This window comes from Homo sapiens, chromosome 9 (assembly GCF_000001405.40).
Source record: "Homo sapiens chromosome 9, GRCh38.p14 Primary Assembly".
In the NCBI taxonomy this organism is placed as follows: domain Eukaryota; kingdom Metazoa; phylum Chordata; class Mammalia; order Primates; family Hominidae; genus Homo; species Homo sapiens.
This window is the reverse complement of record NC_000009.12, coordinates 15,968,913-15,990,837: the sequence shown is the minus strand read 5'-3', so window position 1 is coordinate 15,990,837 and position 21,925 is coordinate 15,968,913. Positions and strand designations below refer to the sequence as shown.

Below are 21,925 nucleotides of genomic sequence, written 5' to 3'. Positions count from 1 at the left end.
TAATGGCCTTCTTTGTCTCTTTTGATCTTTGTTGGCTTAAAGCCTGCTTTATCAGAGACCAGGATTGCAACTCCTGCCTTTTTTTGTTTTCCATTTGCTTGGTAGATCTTCCTCCATCCCTTTATTTTGAGCCTATGTGTGGCTCTGCATGTAAGATGGGTGTCCTGAATACAGCACACTGATGGGTCTTGACGCTTTATCCAGTTTGCCAGTCTGTGTCTTTTAATTGGAGCATTTAGCCCATTTACATTTATGGTTAATATTGTTATGTGTGAATTTGATCCTGTCATTATGATGTTAGCTGGTCATTTTGCTCGTTAGTTGTTGCAGTTTCTTCCTAGCATCGATGGTCTTTACAATTTGGCATGTTTTTGCAGTGGCTGGTACTGGTTGTTCCTTTCCATGTTTAGTGCTTCCTTCAGGAACTCTTGTAAGGCAGGCTTGATGGTGACAAAAACTCTCAGCATTTGCTTGTCTGTTAAGGATTTTATTTCTCCTTCGCTTATGAAGCTTAGTTTGGCTGGATATGAAATTCTGGGTTGAAAATTCTTTTAAGAATGTTGAATATTGGCCCCCACTTCTCTTCTGGCTTGTAGAGTTTCTGCCAAGAGATCTGCTGTCAGTCTGATGGGCTTCCCTTTGTGGGTAACCCGACCTTTCTCTCTGGCTGCCCTTAACATTTTTTCCTTCATTTCAACTTTGGTGAATCTGACAATTATGTGTCTTGGAGTTGCTCTTCTTGAGGAGTATCTTTGTGGTGTTCTCTGTATTTCCTGAATTTGAATGTTGGCCTGCCTTGCTAGGTTGGGGAAGTTCTCCTGGATAATATCCTGCAGAGTGTTTTCCAACTTGGTTCCTTTCTCCCCGTCACTTTCAAGTACACCAATCAGACATAGATATGGTCTTTTCACATAGTCCCATATTTCTTGGAGGCTTTGCTCATTTCTTTTTACTCTTTTTTCTCTAAACTTCTCTTCTCACTTCATTTCATTCATTTGATCTTCAATCACTGATACCCTTTCCTCCAGTTGACAGAATCAGCTACTGAAGCTTGTGCATTTGTCACCTAGTTCTCGTGCCAGGGTTTTCAGCTCCATCAGGTCATTTAAGGACTTCTCTACACTGGTTATTCTAGTTAGCCATTTGTCTAATCTTTTTTTCAAGGTTTTTAGCTTCTTTGAGATGGGTTCCAACTTCCTCCTTTAGCTCGGAGAAGTTTGATCATCTGAAACCTTCTTCTCTCAACTCGTCAAAGTCATTCTCCATCCAGTTTTGTTCTGTTGCTGGCAAGGAGCTGCGTTCCTTTGGAGGGGGAGAGGCCCTCGGATTTTTAGAATTTTCGGCTTTTCTGCTCTGTTTTTTCCCCATCTTTGAGGGTTTACCTACCTTTGGTCTTTGATGATGGTGACGTACAGATGTGGTTTTGGTGTGGATGTCCTTTCTGTTTGTTAGTTTTCCTTCTAACAGTCAGGACCCTCAGCTGCAGGTCTGTTGGAGTTTGCTGGAGGTCCACTCCAGATCCTGTTTGCCTGGGTATCAGCAGCAGAGGCTGCAGAATAGTGAGTATTGCTGACAGTAAATGTTGCTGCCTGATTGTTCCTCTGGAAGCTTCGTCTCAGAGCAGTACCCTGCCGTGTGGTGTGTCAGTCTGCCCCTACTGGGGGATGCCTCCCAGTTAGGCTACTCGGGGGTCAGCGACCCACTTGAGGAGGCAGTCTGTCCATTCTCAGATCTCAAACTCCATGCTGGGAGAACCACTACTCTCTTCAAAACTGTCAGACAGGGACATTTAAGTCTGCAGAGGTTTCTGCTGCCTTTTGTTCATCTATGCCCTGCCCCCAGAGGTGGAGTCTACAGAGGCAGGCAGACCTCCTTGAGCCGCGGTGGGCTCCACCCAGTTCGAGCTTCCCGGCCGCTTTGTTTACCTACTCGAGCCTCAGCAATGGCAGGCACCCCTCCCCCAGCCCTGCTGCCGCTTTGCACTTCGATCTCAGACTGCTGTGCTAGCAATGGGTGAGGCTCCATGGGCTTGGGACCCTCCGAGCCAGGCGCGGGATATAATCTCCTAGTGTGCTGTTTGCTAAGACCATTGGAAAAGTGCAGTATTAGGGTGGGAGTGACCCGATTTTCCATGTGCCGTCTGTCACAGCTTCCCTTGGCTAGGAAAGGGAATTCCCTGAGCCCTTGTGCTTCCCGGGTGAGGCGATGCCTCGCCCTGCGTTGGCTCATGCTCGGTGGGTGTGCTGCACCCACTGTCCTACCCCCACTGTCTGACAAGCCCCAGTGAGATGAACCTGGTACCTCAGTTGGAAATGGAGAAATCACCCGTCTTCTGTGTCACTCAAGCTGGGAACTGTAGACTGGAGCTGTTCCTATTCGGCCATCTTGGAACTGCCTTTTCCAAATGAAACAGAAACTTCTAAGACCAAAACTGTTAATAATGAGACAAATGATTCTGGAGGAAATATTTTAAAAAGTCGTGCAGCATAATGGCTAGTCATCCCTTGAGGACTCACTTCCTGGTCCCTCAAGGGTTTCTGATGTTTCTTCTAATCTAAAAAAACAAAATACAGTGTACAGTAGCCTTTTAATCAAAACACAGCATCATAGCTTCATAGGTGGTGACTGAAAGCCTGCCATTTGTTAGTTGTTGCTGTAGTTTAACAGCTGAGACAGTATCCTGGTGATGCTACTGTACTGCTTAGTTACCCTGAACACAATTTTTTTCACTGTATTAATGGTATGTTATATTTTTATTGTTAAGTACTGATGTGTGAATAAGTATAACAAAAGGATTGTTTACTGCTGGCATATAAATTCAGAGTCAGGAATGAAGGTTATACCAAACAACCACAGATTGTCCACAAGGGTGGCTGAGATAGTGACACCCTTTTTTCCCAATGGTTCAGTGTACACAAACTGTTTCATGCACAAAGTTATTAAGAATTTTGTATACAATTCCTTTCAGGCCGTGTGTATAAGGTATATATGAAACATAAATGAATTTTGTGTTTAGACTTGGGTCCCATCCCCAAGATATCTCATTATGTATATGCAAATATTCCAAAATGTGAAAAAAAATCCCAAATCTAAAACACTTCTCATCCCCAGCACTTTGGATAAGGGATACTCAACCTGTATTTTGGAAATATGAACAACTTTTCATGTCAATATATGTAACTCCATCTCACTCCTTTAACAGCTGTTATCATAGTTTAGTTAACAAGTCATGCCATTGAAGAACATTTATCTTCAGGATTTGGCTACTGCCAACAAGGCTACAGTCAATCTTGTATTCATTTTTCTGGGAACTGATGTTTCAAATCTCTGTCCATTTTTAAATTAAAATGTTTATCTTTTTCATGCTTTTTTTTTTACATTTGTTACAATATTGTTGCTTTTTCTTTCCAACTTTTATTTTAGGTTCAAGGGGTACATGTGCAGGTTTATTACATGGGTAAGTTGTGTCATGAGGGTTTGGAATATGGATGATTTTGTCACCCAGGTAATCAGCGTAATACCCAATAGGTAGTTTTTCAATCCTCACCCTCCTCCAATTTTTAGGAGTTCTTTAAATGCTAAAGAAATTAGTTCATTTTCTTATATGTGTGTTACAAATTTTTTCTCTACTTTGTTCATCATCTTTTGACATTTGCTAGTGGTGTTTTCTGTATAAAAGTTTGAAATTTGTGTATAGTAAATTTTTTTCAATAGTTTCTGTTACAGATTTTAGGTGTGGAGTCTTGCCTAGAAATGCCTTCTCTATGCCAATATTATGAAAAACAAATCACCTATGTATATTTCTAGTACATTCATAGTTCTCATTTTTAAGTATTTAAATATTTTATTTTCTGGAGTTTATTTCAGCATAAACAATGTAGGTTTTTTTTCTGGACAAATGCAAGTAATTCTAATGCCATGTATTAAAGGATACATCTTTCCCCACTGATTTGAAATATTACACCTTAAATTCTCATAATATTTCTATTACTACTTTACTTAATTACTACATTTCTCAGTCTCTTAGAATCCTTATAGAATCTGTGTTAATGACCATATATGAACAAACAAATGACATAAACAACAGAATGGAAATAGTCATCTAAGAGTAAGTCAGCAAGAAAGTTCTCCAAGGTCCTAGTTACTTTTACAGAGTGCCATGTCTAAAGTTCAGTAAGTTGGTCTCCATCTCCAGCAGGTGCCAGGCAAACAAGTGAAAGGACAAGGATCTAGGGCAATCTGGGGTTTTGTTGCCCTCTTCGTATAAAATCTTTCCCATTACAGTTCTTGGATTTTTACGAGAGCAGGTTAGTTTTTAATGAGCGCATAACTGAAGGAAGGCTTTGCATTTCAAAGCCTGTTGCTGTTACACCCGCTGCATTAGTAAAGTAAGTTCGGGGATCAGCTGGAAAGAGAACTTTAAGTGTCTTATGGCATCCCTCTGCAGCAAGACAGCCTTTCTGAAGGTGATTGCAGACAGACATGGTCCTGCATCTTTGAAGTATACTCAATGAAGAATCAATTCAGGAACTCACAGACACTAGTTATCAGCTTGTGTTTATTCACATCGCAGAGAAGGGTTTAATCAACGTAATACATATTGGTCAATTCTTTGCTTTTAAACTTTACCTTTTGCCTATCAGCAGATCAATATGTATTTTAATCTTCTTCTGTTTTAGAACTGATTTTAAGACTCACAGCAATGAGGCCCAGATTTCACAATCATTAATTGCCATTATCAGCCCCTTTTATTTCCTAAGCATCAGCAGTTTCTTAAAATTCTGCTTTCATTCTTTTACGAAGTTATGCCTTCTTGTTCATCATTTGGTTCTGTTGTGCCTTTCAACCAAGTACAGAGTTTATGACTAGCCAATAATGGGAAGAAAAAGAATGCCCTGCAAATTCTCCATTGATTAACCAGTCTATCTGACTTCATCAACAGCTGCACACAAAACTCAAATGGTCTGACCACTTCTTGGTGAATGGTATCAAGTAATTCCAAAGCTCCAGGTGGGTCTGTCAAAGGGACTCATATTCATTTTTTCTATCTTTTAAATAAGTACTGAATTACCTCTGCCTCTCATGGGAAGATCAGAAATAAATAATAAATAAATACTGAATTATCATCTTTGGGTGGTCAGTTATTCTACATATTACAGTACAACTTGTTTCTTCCTAAATTGTCAGTATTTTCTAGTATACCAAAAGTTGGAAAGTTGAAGAATCTGCCATTCCATTGCTGCCTAATTTGGGAAAGTCACTTAATCTCTCTAGGTCTTAATTTCCTTGTCTGTAAGGTAGTGTAACAATAGGTCATTTTTGGAAATTATGAGATAACCCAAATAATGTATTTTGCACAAAGCCTAGCTACCAGGACAAATGAGAAACTCAAAACCCAGATGAAGGACTGTCCCTGTTAACAGTGATGATACTGCTGCTGACTTACAGATTAAAGTATAAGGCAGCAACTGAATGGAAGGAAGTAATCTGACTAAAGGATCAGTGTGTTCATACCTGCAAATGTATCTCGCACTTGAACCTTAGGAAGAAAAGGAATTTGTATGATTGGTCCAAAAAAAAACCTTTTCACTTGGTGTACTGCATTATTACTCAAGTAAGGTTATTTCCATTTGCCACATAATTATGGAGCCTCCCTTCCTGTGTGCCTCTTTGTACACAGTGAAATGTTCCTCTGCTGTCTTTATAGAGTTTATTTTCTTCTAAACATAAAATTATAAATGTTCATTGTAGGAAATTTAGAAATTTATAAAAATATGAAGAAAATAAAAATTATTCATAATTCTACCACTGGTAGATATGTTTGATGCCTTTTCTCTCATATATGTACCAACATAGATATTTATATTATGTATAAATATAGAAATACATCAAAACTTTCATATAGAAATACTTCAAATTACCAATAGACTGGGTTCTGAAATGTAGATCCATTTGTGCAAAAGTCCATAGTGACTTTAAACTTAGCACAATATCTGTTTTTGTTGAGAAGAATTGACCCATTTCTGCTCTGTTGTGAGACTTAGTTTCTATCCATGAAAATCTGTGACTGGAAAATTTATAGAGCAGATTTTGTATCCTACCCTTTTCATCAAATATCAAATCATGAGAACTTTGTAATGTTGATAAATATTCTATAAAACCATGATTCTCAACATTGCCTGATAGTCCATTAAATGAATATAAGATTTATTGGACAATTTATTTACTAATGTATTTAAAATAACCCCATGACGCATATCACACAGAGAAATCTTACTCTAGCTCTCTAGCTATTTCCTCAGGAAAGATTTCTAGAAGTAGGATCAAAGATAATACACTTATTTAATAATTATGACATATATATGTATATACATACATATAAACATATATATATATATACACACACACATATATATGTACACACACACTCATATATATACATGGTCAAATGCTTTCCAGAAAGACTGTGCTTAATTACATACCTAACCCCATACCTAACCACAGTGACACTATTACCGGCACAAAGTTAGCATCATCTTTTAAGTCCTCTCTAATTAGGCATGAAGCTATATGCATCCACTGTGGTATGCTTTCTGAGGCCTGGAAGTCTATGCTTTCTCATTGACCACAGCAGGTCTTAGGGCTCCAGATTATCTGTCAGACCTCACATTTGGTCCAGGGTCCATGGCTTCAGTGGCTTTACCTTCTTTCTTATCTTGTTGCCCACCTGGGCTCTATATTTCAAAGAAATACTGACCAGTTTTGCTTGATGTGAAACTATACTGTAGTCTATTCTGATACAGAGGACTACAGATGCTCCTGGTCTCTACTCTGCAGAGGAGTGGAAAGGGCTATTTATGCTGCCTCAATGGTTCTGGTGGGAAGATGGTTTTTAGTAGAGTTTCTGTTTTATCTACTTAAATTTCTTATCTAGCAGTTGGAGGTAAAATTGATACAGTAGTGCTGATTTCCAAATGCCAACACACACACACACACACACACACACACACACACACACACTCTCTTTATTTAGCTCTTGCCTCCCTACCTTGGGATGAACAAACACAAATAAATGCATTATTATAGATTTATTCTCATTGCAGGCAATCACATCCATCCCATTGAGCAGATTATTTAACTCCTTACACAATTATCTGGCAGCAGTGAAAGTGATTTCTCAAACAGTATGAAACACAAATGTTTATCCAGGAACAAATGCCTGTGAGACTTTGGGAGGAGAACTGAGGATCCCTTAAAAAGGTGCTAAGAACCTACTAGCCACTTGCCTAGATATTCCACATATGCTTCAGAGATTCTCTCTCTCTCACACACACACACACACACACACACACACACAACTGATCACAAAATCCACAATATAAACTGTACAAAATATGGGAAATACTGCATATTACCTAAGAAGAGAGTATGAGAAATAAGTTAAAATAGTAAAATATGTTTTTTTAAAAAAAGAAAAACAGATATTGCTAGAAAATTAAAGATACAGGAAAAAAGAGAAATGAAGAGCACTCCCATGTACTTGTCAACTATTATGTTTCCAGTTCTCTGTGGCTGAATTTCATCAAGGGATAGAGAACTGGGGAAAAAGATTAAGCAGGAGGGTATAACCTTAAAAAATGTTCAGTATTTAAGAGGAAAGGGGAAGGGGGTTCTGAAAAGATCTGGAGAAGAACCTATCAAAAAAGTAGGAGGATAACCAGGATCATGTATTTTTATGAAAGCTAGAATAGGAGCTTCAAGAAGCAAACACAAGTCCATAGTTAAGTGCTGCACAAGAAATCCAGGGTAAGAACGAACATGTTTCAGTGGGATTTATTTGTAGGAAGTGACCTTTAAGAGAGAATGGATGTTAATATTTGAGTGACTTTTCTGGAGATGCCCATTATTTTGACCTCACCCCTGCATCACCTTCTTGCAGAATCTACCCATGTCCCCCTTGGTCTCCCATTGTGTCTGCTGAACAAGTAGAATCCCATAGACCCCTTTCTCTCTGGACACAGAAGAGTGCAGGGAAATGAATCGTGAAGACTCTTTTAGGTTCTTAAACTGGAAAATTAAGTGAGTCGGTTTAAGAACCTAAAGTGACCATGCCTGGGTCATGTGGAAATTAGGCTGAGAGCACCAGTCAGTAGAAGGAAGGGAAGGAAGCAGAGGCACAGAAAGGCCCAGAGATCAGAGAGCAGACACCCCCAGGAACAGAGGAGAGGAGGGTGCATTACAAGAAAAAGACCCCTTGCTTCCTCTAAAGGCTGGGCTGCACTCCTGCCCTCAGGTTCCATGAATTATCCCTCTTTCCTTCCAGTAATTTGGAGTGGGATTTGGTGCCTCATCATCAAACTACTCCATCCGAGACAGTAACTACTGTGTGCCATTTGGCTGTGTGCTAAATACTCTGTCACGTAATGCTTACAAGAGCTCAGTAGAGAAGGTATCATTATCTCCCTCTTCCCTGAGAGGAATCTGAGGTTCACGAGGTTAAATAACTTGCCTAAGGACACACAGCTGGTGAGTGAATACGGTTCTAAATTCTCACATCACTACGCTGGGCCATAAACACTAAACAAGCTCAATTACTGCTAATTGAAATTCTGAGAAGTTCTCAGAAGCATGAAGGCTATGTCTGTGCTATGATATCTTCCTCTGTATTTAATTATAAACATAACACCTTAATTTGCAGCACTCATACATCAGCCTTCAGTATGCTCCATACAGAGGAAGTATGTCAGAAAGAGCCAGAATCTTCTCAAAAGAAGTTTGCATTCTCCCAGTTCATGGAATAAACTACAACTACAATATGAACTTTATCACGGGTTCTTAGAGACTCTTAACAGAAGTATAAGCCTTTTCAGTTATTGAAAGAATTGAAAGCTTTTTACTGTTCATGAAAAAGACAAACTCCTCCCTTTCAAATTATTCTACTTTATAGTACAATTCCTTCTGGCTGGGAGGAGAACTTCAGACGCTTTTTCAAATAACCCTAGCCATTTAATCTGTACCTTTGGGAAGTCATGCTGAGAGTATATGGAAAAGAGACAGACGGAGCCAGAAAAAGGTGGGGGTGGAAAAGGGAAGGGAGAGGGTTATGGAAAAGAAAAGGTAAGACATTGTTTCTGAAGTAGTAAGAATCTCCCAGTTTTTCTGGCCTACTTTAAAATGAGCTGCGTACTTCTAACCACAAAAGAACATCTAACATTGTTTAGGTAGTTACAACTTAAAAAGCTTCTACATGTCTACTCCAGACAGATCTTTCCATTTATTTGTCATCCTCATCATACATAAATCAGCACTGCTTATATTAATTAGACACTTTCACTGGAAGTTGAGATGCTCAGTCAGCTCAGACTATAACAAAATACCACAGACTGGGTTGCTTAAGCAATGAACATTTATTTCAGGAGGCTGGGAAGTCCAAAATCAAAGTGCTAGCTGATTTGATTCCTGACAAGAGATCCCTTCCTAGCTTACAGAAAGCCACCTTCTCACTGTGTCCTTATGTGGTGGAGAAAGAGTGAGTGTTCTCTTTTTCTCTCTTTGCATATAAAGCCATTAATCCCATCAAGAGGACTCTCATGACCTCTTCTAATCTGAAGTACCTCCCAAAGAGCCTATATCAAAATATTATCACATTGGGGGTTAGGGTTTTGATATGGTTTAGCTGTGTCCCCAGCCATATCTCATCTTGAATTCCCATGTGTTGTGGGAGGTAACTGAATCATGGGGGCACGTCTTTCCTGGCTTTTCTCGTGACAGTAAGTCTCACAATATCTGATGGTTATTATATGGGGGTTTTCCTGCATAAGCTCTCTCTCTTTGCCTGCTGCCATCCATGTAAGACGTGACTTGCTCTTTCTTGCCTTCCACCATGATTGTGAGGCTTCCCAACCACATGGAACTGTAGGTTCAGTTAAACCTCTTTCTTTTGTAAATTACTCAGTCTCTGGTATGTCTTTATCAGCAGTATGAAAACGGACTAATACAGGTTTCTATATACAAATTGGGTGGGCGGGGCAGGGTTGGGGGGACACAATTCAGTACGTAGCAGGTGCTTTGAAATAGTTATTAAAAAAAAAAAAACCAAATGAGCAACACCCAAGAATATCAACCATGACATTATAACAGAATATATGCCCAGGTATTACAGAATGGTAAATCTTAGACAAATGCCAAGGACCTTCTTCTATAGCTTGAAAGGGTTGAAGAACAGATCTGTACAGATGGTTTGGGGCTATGAAAGATGGCTTTTAAGAAATCAATTAAAGTAGGTCTCCACTGAGAGAAAACCCTAATTATAAAGCATGGGCCTGGGGAGAGCAGAGAGGCCATACATGCAGGCTATTGTCTCAGAAATAGAACTTGGATGCTGAGGGTGCTGAGAGGGAGGAGATCTGCTGAACCCCCTTTCTGAACCATTTGCTGGAGAGATCACTGGGGCTAGGGGGACCTTAAGAAATCTGACTTGAGTCCAACTTAAGAATTAGTTCTAGGACCTTTAAAGTCTTGCAAATAACATGTAATTTCCAAAGTCCAGTTGTTGTTTGAATTCGGGGGCAGATTATTCCTGTTTCTGAAAAACCACTTTAGTAAACCACTTCAGAACCTTTTGATTCTACAAAGGTAAAGTCAAAATCCTAATTTGAAATAGAAAATTTCCAGAAAACATTAGATGCTTTGTATTATTACATCTAAAACTCTTTTCTTTCCAGTCTTAATATTTTTACTCTCTATGATAGAATTCCCTTCAGTTATTCTCAAGTCCTTATTAAGTTTTGCCAAATACTACAGCCTTGTTTAGGTAAAGAGATTAAATAATCAAAAACTGTTAACATGGTAAATTTTATGTTATGTATATTTTACCACAATTAAAAAGATTTCTTTAATAATAAAAAAAATTCCCACAAAGAAAAGCTCAGGCCAAGATGAATTCACTAATAAATTCTAAGTATGTTCAAAAAATTAACATTAACCCTTCCCAAACTCTTTAAAAAAATAGAAGAGAAGGGATAATTTCCCAATCATTCTATGAGCCCAGTATTAGCCTAATACTAGATAAAGATATCACAAGAAAACTTCAAACAAATACTCCTTATTTTCAGAGATGCAAAATCTCCAACAAATCCTAGGAAACTGAATCCAGAAACATGAAAAAAAAAGATTACATACCACACCATGACCAAGTGAGATTTATCCCAGGAAGGCAAGATTGGTTTAACGTGTGAAAATCAATCAATGTAAGACATCATATTAATAGAATACAGGACAAAAACCACATGATCATCTCAATAGATACAGAAAAAATATTTGACAAATTGAAACACCCTTCTGTGATAAAAAACAGCCAACAAAACTAAAAATTGAAGGGAACATCTTCAACCTGATAAAGGGCATCTATGAAAATCCAATTGCTAATGTCACACTTCATGGTATAAGACTTAATGCTTTTCCCTAAGATCAGGAACATGACAAGTATGTTCACTCTTGCTACTACTACTCAACAATGTACTGAAGATTATAGCTGAGACAATTTGGTAAGAAGAAGAAACGAAAGGCATTTAGATTAGAAAAGAAGTAAAACTGTGTCTATTTGCAGATGACACCACTTTGTCTATAGAAAAATACTAAGAAATTCACACCACAAAACTATTTGAATTAAAAAGCTGGAAATAAATCAAAAGTCAATTAAATGGTGAATGAATAAACAAAATGTGGTCTATTCATATAGTGGAATATTATTCCACTTGAAAAGGAATGAAGTAGATACACGGTACCGTATGAACAAACCTGGAAAATGTTAAGTCTCAATGAAGGAAGCCAGATAAAAATAGCAATACATATTGTTCTATTTACATGATATATACAAAAATAGGCAAATCCATAGAGATAGAAAGTAGATTATGGTCACCAGGGGATAGAGGATTGGGGAATGGAAAGTGATTGCCAATGGGTTCAGAGCTCCTCTTTGGGGTAATACAAATGTTCTGGAATTAGATGGTGAAAATTGTTCATCTTTGTGAAATATGTGAAAAACTGTGGATTGTATACTTTAAAAGGATACATTGTATGTTACGTGAACTATATTTTAATAAAGCTGTACTTTTTAAAAAATATATATGTATGTGCTCTAACCTAGGTGTTCGAATTCTTATCTGAATTGTTGTGAAGCAGATAAATCTAGTCAAAGGGTGACTGCCAATTTTGAAAGCTATTTAGACATACAGTGATACAGGGTTTCTACTCTGATTAACTTCATATTCAGGAAAATCAACGTTGGACTTCCTCAAAATTGTCTCTTAGGAAGAACAGGGATTCTGCCTCCCCACAGATTAAAGAGAGCAAAAAGCCCAGGAGGGACGCTGAAGCTGATGATGACCTCCATGTGCCAGGACTCTTCTGTGTAGCCCCACCTGTCGTGCACCAGTCACACACATTATGATGTAGTTTGTGCCCTCTTGGACCCATGAACACTTCAGTAAGAACACCGCCACCATTCGTTATTAGAAAGCACTTTTAATTGTGACTGTGAATGAGAACTCTGCTTCATAGGAATCTCTCTAAATCGTCTTCAGAGCACATATTTAGACTAATACTCCTCAGCCCAAGGAAAACCGAAGTGGTGCTTCTGTAACCACAGAAGCATTTACAATGAGTTCAATAGTCAGTAGTACATCAAAGTCACCAGAATGAACTGATGTCTTTAAACCTCAGGTCCTAAATGATTTGCAGGGAGTGTCTACGTTCCAAAGCTTTCCATGTGCACTTTTACTGCCTAAGCCTTCTACTTTTAAACCAGAAGTAAACTTAGAAAAAGAAAATGTATTTTGGTTACTGTTTGAAGAAAAAGGCAAAAATGAGATGTCCTATTATATAGCCTGTAATTATTTCTTTTACAGTTCTTTTTACTAGGCATCCAATACAATTCCATTCGTCCTAGATCACATTTAAGATTTTCCTCTTATATAGACACCCAAAACACAGAAGGGATCTACTGAAGACAGGTCACCTTATATTCTTGTCATCGTGAATGTTTATGAATATCTGATAGCTCTTAACCTGTCAGATGAGTCTTCTTCAGATCTAAATAAGCCTTCCTATTTTACGTAGTTTCCTATAGCCGCACAACATTTCTGGAGCCGCTTCACTGGGAGGACTCTGTCAACAATCAGCATTTCACTGGCATTAACATGCAATAAAAGACAATGAACCATGACTCAATTAAACCACAAAAAAACTGTCTTCAGATAACATTAACCCAGTAGTTTTCAAAGCTTTATATGTTGTAGGGCTTCTGTTGCCTAACATTAAGGTCAGCGCTTTAAAAACATATGCCTAAGCATCAAACACACCTACACAGAATATGATTTAGAGGAAGGAGCAAAACTCTGTTTTGATTTATCTCCTTCCCATACTATATCCAGAGATTTTAAACTTAAGAATATGTGGTATCAATTAGGTATCACTACTGCAAAGAGTAAGAACACATTTTCCCATCGCAACGTCCATGGAAATGTAATTTGCCCACAAGATACAGTTAGGGAGACCTTTAGATTCTGATTTGTTTAAAACAATAACTAAAAAAGATTATGCAGGGGGAGGTTCAGAAAAAATATGTACGCATCCATAATATGAACTAACAGGACATCTGATATCTGGATATGTCAATCAACACATTCTACAGCCAGAAAAGTGTCTCGTAATAAAATTGCTAAGGTATAAGAAAAAAGATGGAGCTCTTCTAATATGTAAATTTACACATTTATGTCTCACTTAACCAGGAGGACTGGAGGAATGGAGGGGTTTCTTACAGAACCAGAGGCTTTATTTTTCTTTTCTTTGCTTGGCTGTACTTGCAATATTTAACGCTCTAGGTTTAAATCTTCAATATTTTAGGTTTGATCACATTTAACACTTAGTCATTTCAATTAAAATTGCTCTCCTTTCTCTCACTAAATTAAACCATCAGGAAAAATTATATGCTTTCACCAAAGTAAAGACAAAATGGATTCACATAGTACATTGTAAAAATTTTAGAAGATTTCCTTGTTGAATAAAATTATTAAAATTATCTCACTTCAATTATAACAAAAGGCAGGGAGAAATGACCAGGAAATGCTCTGGCATTTTCTTTTAAATATATTTAAATATATAATTTAATTTAAAGTATATAATTCATAAATTCCCTATCATTATTTTAAGCTGTGATTAATATAAATTCATTCAAGATTCAATTTCTTTTGTAAGAAAGCTATTAAAATATGCCAACCAAAATGGAATAAAATAAAAACAATCATTTAAAGTAGATCTTTAAGATATTTAAGGCATCTTTTTAAAACTGTAGGAATTAAAATATACATTGAAATCACAGGTTAATTGAAGAATTATCAAAAGTTATGGCAATAGAGTGTGACTCTATGCTGGCCCAATATAATCACTGTTTATTATATTTAGAAGCCATGAATATAAAATGGAAACCGAAAAGAATTTGAAAATTCAAGTTATGAAGGCAATTATTACGGATAATTTAAAAGAAAGAACATTTTCTCTGTTTGCTAATATTAAAAGATTAACATATTAATCTTTTAAAAAAATTACTAAACGTTTACTGGTGTATTAGTTTCCTTCGGTGGCTGTGACATATTGCCACAAATTACCACAAACTTGTGGCTTAAAGCAGCACAAATGTATTCTCTTACAATCCTGGAGGCTCTGAGAGGAGAATCCATTTCCTTGCCTCTTTCTGCTTCTAGCACCGCCCTGAAAGCCTTAAGTCTGGACTCTGCCTCCATCTTCACAGCACATCACTTCAACTTCGGCTTCCATCATCGTATCACCTTTTCCTCTCCATAGTCAAACTAACCCCTGCACCTCCCTCTCTTACAAAGATACCTCCTATTGCATTTAGAGCACACCCAGCTAATCCAGGATAATCTCCTGATCTCAAGATCCTTAACTTAATCACCCCTGCAAAGTCCCTTTGCCGTAGACGGTAACATTCACAGGTTTCAGTGATTAGTATTATGAACATCTCGTACGGCCATTATTCAGCCTACTACACTAGTCCAGAAAATATATTTTTAAATCTTTATCCTAGGAGTTACACAAGTGAATGCTTTATTGATCAGCTTTATTTGGCATATGTCATTATTTTCCATTGGGAAGTAATAGCATGGTCAAGCTGACTCACCATCAGTACCTCTCAACAGAGACTCTGCTTCTGAGAGTATCTGTGTGGTCTTTTGGCCAAGCTAGAGACACTGGGCAACACAGTGAGGGTGGTGTTTCCTTTGAAAGATAGACACCAACTTCACAGTTACTGTTTACATAAATAGTGCTAGTATGTATGTATTTTGTTTTGTCTAATCAATTCATAAGAAATCTAGATTTCAAACCAAAACATACTTATCAAAATTATTCCTAGCTGGTCAGGACAATTAAAAAAAATTTTTTTTTCTCTTTAAAAAGTGTTAATTATTTCTGGAAGGCAGGACTAGCAGTGTTTCAAAATAATGTGGACTTTGGAATTGCAGCTCTAGGCTTACTAATTCCTAGGTTATGTATGATCTTTGGTAGCCAAAAGCTTAACATTTTTGATCCTCAGTTATTCATGTCTAAAATGGTGATGGAAACTCCTATGCTAGAGGTTTGTTGTGAGATCATTAGTTTTGCTATAATAACTGGCATAAAACAGTTGCTTGATAAATATTAATTATCTTCCACCTTTTATATTAGAAAACTTGTCTATAAAAAGTGCACAGTGAGGGCACAGTGGTACGCATCTGTAGTCCCTGGTACTCAGGAGGCTGAGGTGGGAGGATCACTTGAGCCCAGGAGTTCAAGACCGGCCTGGGCAACGTTGTGAGAGCCCATCTCTTAAAAAAAGAATAAGTGCACAGTGAAATAGGATCAACTTCCTATTGTTCAGTATGGTCTACAGAATGAATTCAGACAACTGGTAAATGAAGTAATATGAAAATACTAATAATCTCATTAAACATTCAATAATAGCATATGTCATAAATATGAAATAGGAAATAGAGTTGCTAAGTTTAATAAGAGTCAGATATTTGGTAAATTAAAGTGATCATTCTATTTAAAAGGTTATTTATTTATGTCATTAAGTTATCACTGAACTGGCAATTTTTGCAATCCTAAACCTCTTTGTTTTTATATTATGTCATTCCAAAATACATGTATTAAAAATGTCAGCAACTCCACAATATGTAAGTGTGACTCAGGTATCAGAACAATAACTTTAAGAATTAATAGTGATAGGTGATATAGGTGTGTTTCTAGATCACAGAAAGTTAGCAGGAAAATCCACATTCGGAAGTGTAAAGTAAAACTTCCTTTCCTCTACAAAAATATTTGAAGTCATTATCCTGAGATATGTCTACTCTATACATCATTCTTAAAAAGATAAAGAAGCTGATACAGCAACTGTCCTTGCCGACACAACAGAGATCTCAAATATGCAGCAATTGGTCACTAAGGTGCTTAGAAGCAGTCTAGAGTTTCTCAGATCTCCATAGGATATGTCATTAAATCTTCTCCTCCTGCTGGGTCTGACTTCTGGGAAAAAAGCATATGGTATAAATATTACTATATTTGGTAGTGAATACTAATGATCGCTCAGGAGGTTCATCCTTCAGTTTCTATGGCCTTTAGCATCTAGTTGCTTATAAATGTGACATGCTTTGATTTGATTTAATCATAATTTACGAATTTTGAATTTGTGGTTCAGAATTCACTGTACAAAATGTACCTGTAAAGTTAGATACCCATATATATGGAGACACATACACATTTATTTTTGGAGTTATCCCATTAACAGATTATAAAATCAAGGCAAGAAGACCAAGGCCTTTCCAAGGCACATTTTACAAAGCTGCTTGTTCCTCTAAAATCAGTAGGATCTGAAAACAGATTCAACACAAGCATACACACACACAAACACTTAGACATAGAGGTTACATATAGTAACCTTGTTCTTCTCTAGTGAGAATTGTAAGCTCAGTGATATCACATGAACTAAAAAATTGTCTATCAATTTCTGTATGAACAATATCCTAATCATTGTTTGGAACAGCAGAGAAAGGTGTTCTGAAATGTGCAGAAATTATATGATCTGTATAAAAACAATAAATAGCACTTCCATGTTATAATAAATTTGCAAGTTGAATTTCATACAGGTCATGTTACACAGGTCATATTAAAAATAATTCCAAGGAAAGAATTAAGAGAAATTTGGTTAAAGATATAATTTTACTCCATATAAGCTTTCTAAAGTTTTATATAAAGCTAATTATAGTGGTTCAGTATTACAAGAATAGGATGTGTTACACAGTACGACAGTAATACTGCTGTGTTCCCTCAGATGGCATAAATCACTTGGCTAATTTGGCTACTAATAAATAGTTAGTATAAAATCTTATTTACCAAGGCCAATAAAAAAATTCTCAGCAGTTGGGTAATTTGAATCAAATGTCACTGTAAAGATAAGACAAAAAAACTTCTGTAATACATACTGTTATACTCTAATGTATCCATAATGAAAGATTCCATAATGAAAAATAATATAAAAAATAGATTATGTATCAAGACTCTTTGTCAAAAGCTATAGTTCACATCAGAAGTTAATAGCACTAGGGAGTTAAATGATTAATACAAAAACAAATTCTTACTACAAATATTCTTTTGTTCTTCACTTACCATGATGCAAACTGCAAGGATTTAACCTTTAAGGGTTAAAGAGTTTAATCAATGTCAATGTCTGATCTTCTGAAGGCGATAAAGAACAGTCTGTCTAGCGATACCCAACAGAACATCACTTTGTCAAGCCACAAAGCACCCAAAAGCTTGTCAAGTAAGTTACCAGAAACCTCTTTGTGGTTAGAACTCAGCTCCTTCCTGCTTGACCTATTATTTGATATTTGACCACTTGGTTGCAAGACACTTGCTCTTTCTAGCTGAAATGTCACTGGGGCATCTTGTCAGCTCCCCGACATCTCGGCCTGACATACAATTTTACTTTTGTGTGCTACAAGGCAGAAAATGCAGGGCAATGGCCTTGTTTTAAATTCTGTCAGCATCAAAGATGGGTGTCACTCTTGGGTCCTACCAACAACAAAAACAAAAAAGGAGTCTATTTTGAAGGTCAAAACAGCCATTACCTTGAAGTTTTTCAGCTTATACTAAATATATTACCTGCTATCCTAGTGTGGGAACTGTCCTTATGAAGTGCCTAAACATACCACAGAAATCCTCCAGCACAATTGCTCTACTTTCTTATCAAATGCAGACTTGCTAAAAGAATGAGTTTTCAGTGCCTTCAGGGACCAGATTCAGCAGTTAACTTAACTTGTTCAAATGGGCAAGTGGTATCATGTAGCTTTACAAGGAGCAACCTGACCTTCTCACATTGACCAGGAGTGACATTATTGTGCAGGAGGAGAAGCAGTCACATCATTTCTGTTTTGCACAACCTGCTTAAAGTTTGCAACTAAATGCTTGTCTTCAGTTGAGCTGACAAGAGAGAAGAGGGGGCTCAGTGAACCATGGCCGGGCTGCCATGAAATGACAGGAATCATTGGCATACATTTCAAATAGCTCTCTCAATCCTATTAAAGCATTGCAGTCCTGCTTTAAAATAGACAAGTATGAAACAACTTTGATAGATAGAGACTAAAATGGCTTATTGATTTTTTTAAGTCTGAGGGAAATTACCCAAAATGTGTCATTCCTTAACATTTAAAAATATGTTACATAAAAATGAGCAACTGTGATAACAAATAAAACTTGGAGAGAAAAAAGTTGGCTATTTCCTTATTCAAGGAGACAGAGCTACCAGAATACATCAAGATAGCGCACAAATTTTTTAAATCCACTGCCACTTCTGCTGAAACAAAAGTCAACTGATAAGAAAATTCCCATTCAAAACAATTTTAATTGTACTGTTAACTCTTCCTCCATTTTTTAATTTCATGAAGTCATAATCCAATCTGAGTTGGTCTGTTGGCATTAGCAGACATAGTCACTGGAGAGGAGTGAGATGATGTCAGAGCATGGGGCACAGTATTTATAAATGTCTCCTTTAAGAAAGTGTAAGTAGTATCAAGTTCAGCTTTCAATGGTAAGAAATCCCCAATACCAGTTGTGTCAGCAGGAAGAGGAGCTCTTGAAGGAATGGAGAGATTTGAATGGTCTCGTGATCCTATCTGTGACATACAAAAGAAAAAAATAATAAACATAGAGTTGAAAACTCTCAAATAGAGCCTAAAACCATAAACAGGCAAGTAGACTAATAATCATTATAATATAAAAATGAGATGGAAACTACTATTTCAATAATCTACATGAGAATATATAAATAGTAAATTATTTATCAAGTGTGACTGAATCCCTTATTTACTCTTTTCTGAACTTTTCTAGACAACAAGAATTTGTCTAAACACTAAATCTTTGTGTAAAACTTTTTATAAAGTTATTATATCAGAGAGTCAATACAATCAGGGATTTTTACCTTGACTTCAGTCCATTGGCAATTTACAGAAACCGATGCTAATAGCATTTATTTCATTATGCTATAAAATAAGTGCCATATAATATGGAAGATTAGATTACTTAGAAAATAAACTATGAGTATTTATGTTTTTTAAATCTATCCATTTTACTTATTTGACAAAAGTAGCACAAAGTAAAATAAGCCAATCCCAGTGACCTCTAGAAAATGGCATACTAAGATACAAAATTCTAATGAGAACTCTTTGGCTTTACTTTAATAATAATGCCACCACCCTGTTTTTTCTTTCAACTTTATTATTTTAGGTTCAGGGGTACACGTGCAGATTTGTTACATGGGTAATTCTTGATTTAAGTCACTGAGGTACGGTGTACAAATGATCCCATCAGCCAGGTGGTGAGCACAGTCCCCGACTGGTAGTTCTTCAACCCTCTCCCACTCTCATAGTCCCTGGTGCTCAGTCTCTATTGTTTCCATCTTTATGTCCATGATACCACCCTGTTTTGATAAAGACTATTATAAGTATTTAGAAATCACATGTCAAAATAAGGGAATGAAAATAATTTGTCATATATTTGAGAACACTGATGGTATCCAGAAATTGTTGGAAATTAAAAATGCCACAAAGTCATGGAATACTGGACAGTAGAATTAATATTTCGATAAAGCTGCTCCTTTAAGCCTTAAGTGACGTCAGTATCTAGTAGTTAATATTTAACATGAAGAAGTCTTAGCAGTAAAGCAGGTAAGTATTATGACATTTAAAGATGGCAGGAAAATAGTGATCAATTGTATGACATAATTTTCCAGATTCCCACAAAATAAATGTTGCTGAAATAACAAGTCTGGTTATAAGTATCTCCACTAAAAATCATACTCTATATTGCAGGGTTTTAAAAAAAAAAAAACTTTTTAGTAGATCCTCTTACAGTTTTGATAACAAAATAATGTAAACTATAAGGTGTGCTTTATTATGTCATGTTATACAAAATTGTTGCTACATGTAAAAACAAGAGGGAAGCTTATCACTGGCTTTAGGAACATATTAGAAATTCAACTGTTGTATGTGTTACCATTTTTGTGGATTTTTTTAAAACTACAACTGGAGAAAAAATCAATATCTGCATCTAACACCTAGTTCAGCAATTTTCTTTGATCTTTGTTCTTTTGATTTCCTGATACTCTACTGCAGGCCAATAGCTGACGGAAATCATCTCTTTTTATACTGGAAGTTAGAAAACACCTAAAATGGTCACTTGAAATAGCTCTATGAAGGATAAGGTTTCCCAGTGGAAGGAAAACAACTTCCAAAATCGTGTGTTGACCCTGATTAGTAGTATTAATGAGGTTTTGCTTGCAGAACCTTAATGCTGGGCCTGATCATCTCAGCTCAGAACCTGAACAGAGGCATCTCATTACATCAGAGGCTAGAGGTGTACACATCTGCATTTTTACTGCTGCTAGAATCATTTTTTAGCAGTGTCATTACTGGATTGACTTTGCAGCTATAAACATTACAGTGCCATCTACTAACTTCTCATTCTGCCAGGCCTGGGGGTTAGGGGAATGCTGGAAGAGCAGGAAATGGTGGGGCCTGATTTTCTTCTTAATAAACATAGTTATAGCCACAGTATTCTTTATTATAGTAGAATATTTTATTGTCAGAAAAGGCTTCAAAAGTTTGTTTTGATACATCTTTATACTTCAAGTTCTGGTCTAAGAAAACTATGTATGGAAAATAGAGGGGTGTGCAGAATCAGTCCAAGGAAGGTCAGATATCCTCTGGGGGTATTTTCTTCTGGATGTTTTAGAGAAAGGTAACTATGCCAAACTGACCAACCATTCCTGTTTTGTCAATATTAGTGATATGCATAATTTACTCAAACTTATATGTTGTACTTAAAGTTTCCCTTTTTGTTCTTGCAAATCCATCAACCTAACACATTACAAAGTTAGGAAGGCAGTCCTTTAGGGAAAGTCTCTACTAACTGCTCATTTCTCTTTAATATTCTACAGATCTTGGTAACCTACAAAGAGGTCCCTCTTTTGCCTTTTCTCATCCTACTTTTTCTAATATGTCTACTTTCCACTATGTCGTCTGAAAGCACCCTTTCATCCAATATAATATTTTTGACTAAATAACCTTGAAATGGGGTGTTATTTCCCTAGTATTTCAAATTAGTTTCACTTTTTGCACACTATTTTCTGACGTTATGTCCTAAACATGGAAAATAATCTAAAGAATCTCCAGAGATGAAAAAGAGAGACAGAGAGATTTCCTTAAAGTCTTGTACCCCCCAAAAGTATAGTCTCTAGAAAGTAAACAGAGTTACTTTTGTATAAAGGAAAACAAATGACTGCTTTTGCTACTGGGATCATCTGCTGTACTGC

General features: G+C 36.7%; 1 protein-coding gene across 29 annotated transcripts in view; it reads right to left on the bottom strand.

Moving 5' to 3' along the window:
• CCDC171 (coiled-coil domain containing 171) overlaps window positions 1-21,925 on the bottom strand; it is a 556,042-nt gene that overhangs the window by 118,089 nt on the left and 416,028 nt on the right. For 21 of the 29 annotated variants that reach the window (XM_047422930.1, XM_047422935.1, XM_005251397.3 and 18 more), the window contains one exon: window positions 16,799-19,229. The exons of 5 other annotated variants lie outside the window; for them this stretch is intronic. In XM_047422930.1, the coding sequence (XP_047278886.1) occupies window positions 19,002-19,229 (228 nt within the window). In that variant the 3' untranslated portion in view covers window positions 16,799-19,001. Of the gene's footprint in view, window positions 1-16,798; window positions 19,230-19,251; window positions 20,033-21,925 lie in introns of those variants that run through there. 3 more of the 29 variants (NM_001348002.2, NM_173550.4, XM_017014436.3) reach the window with 2 other exon arrangements.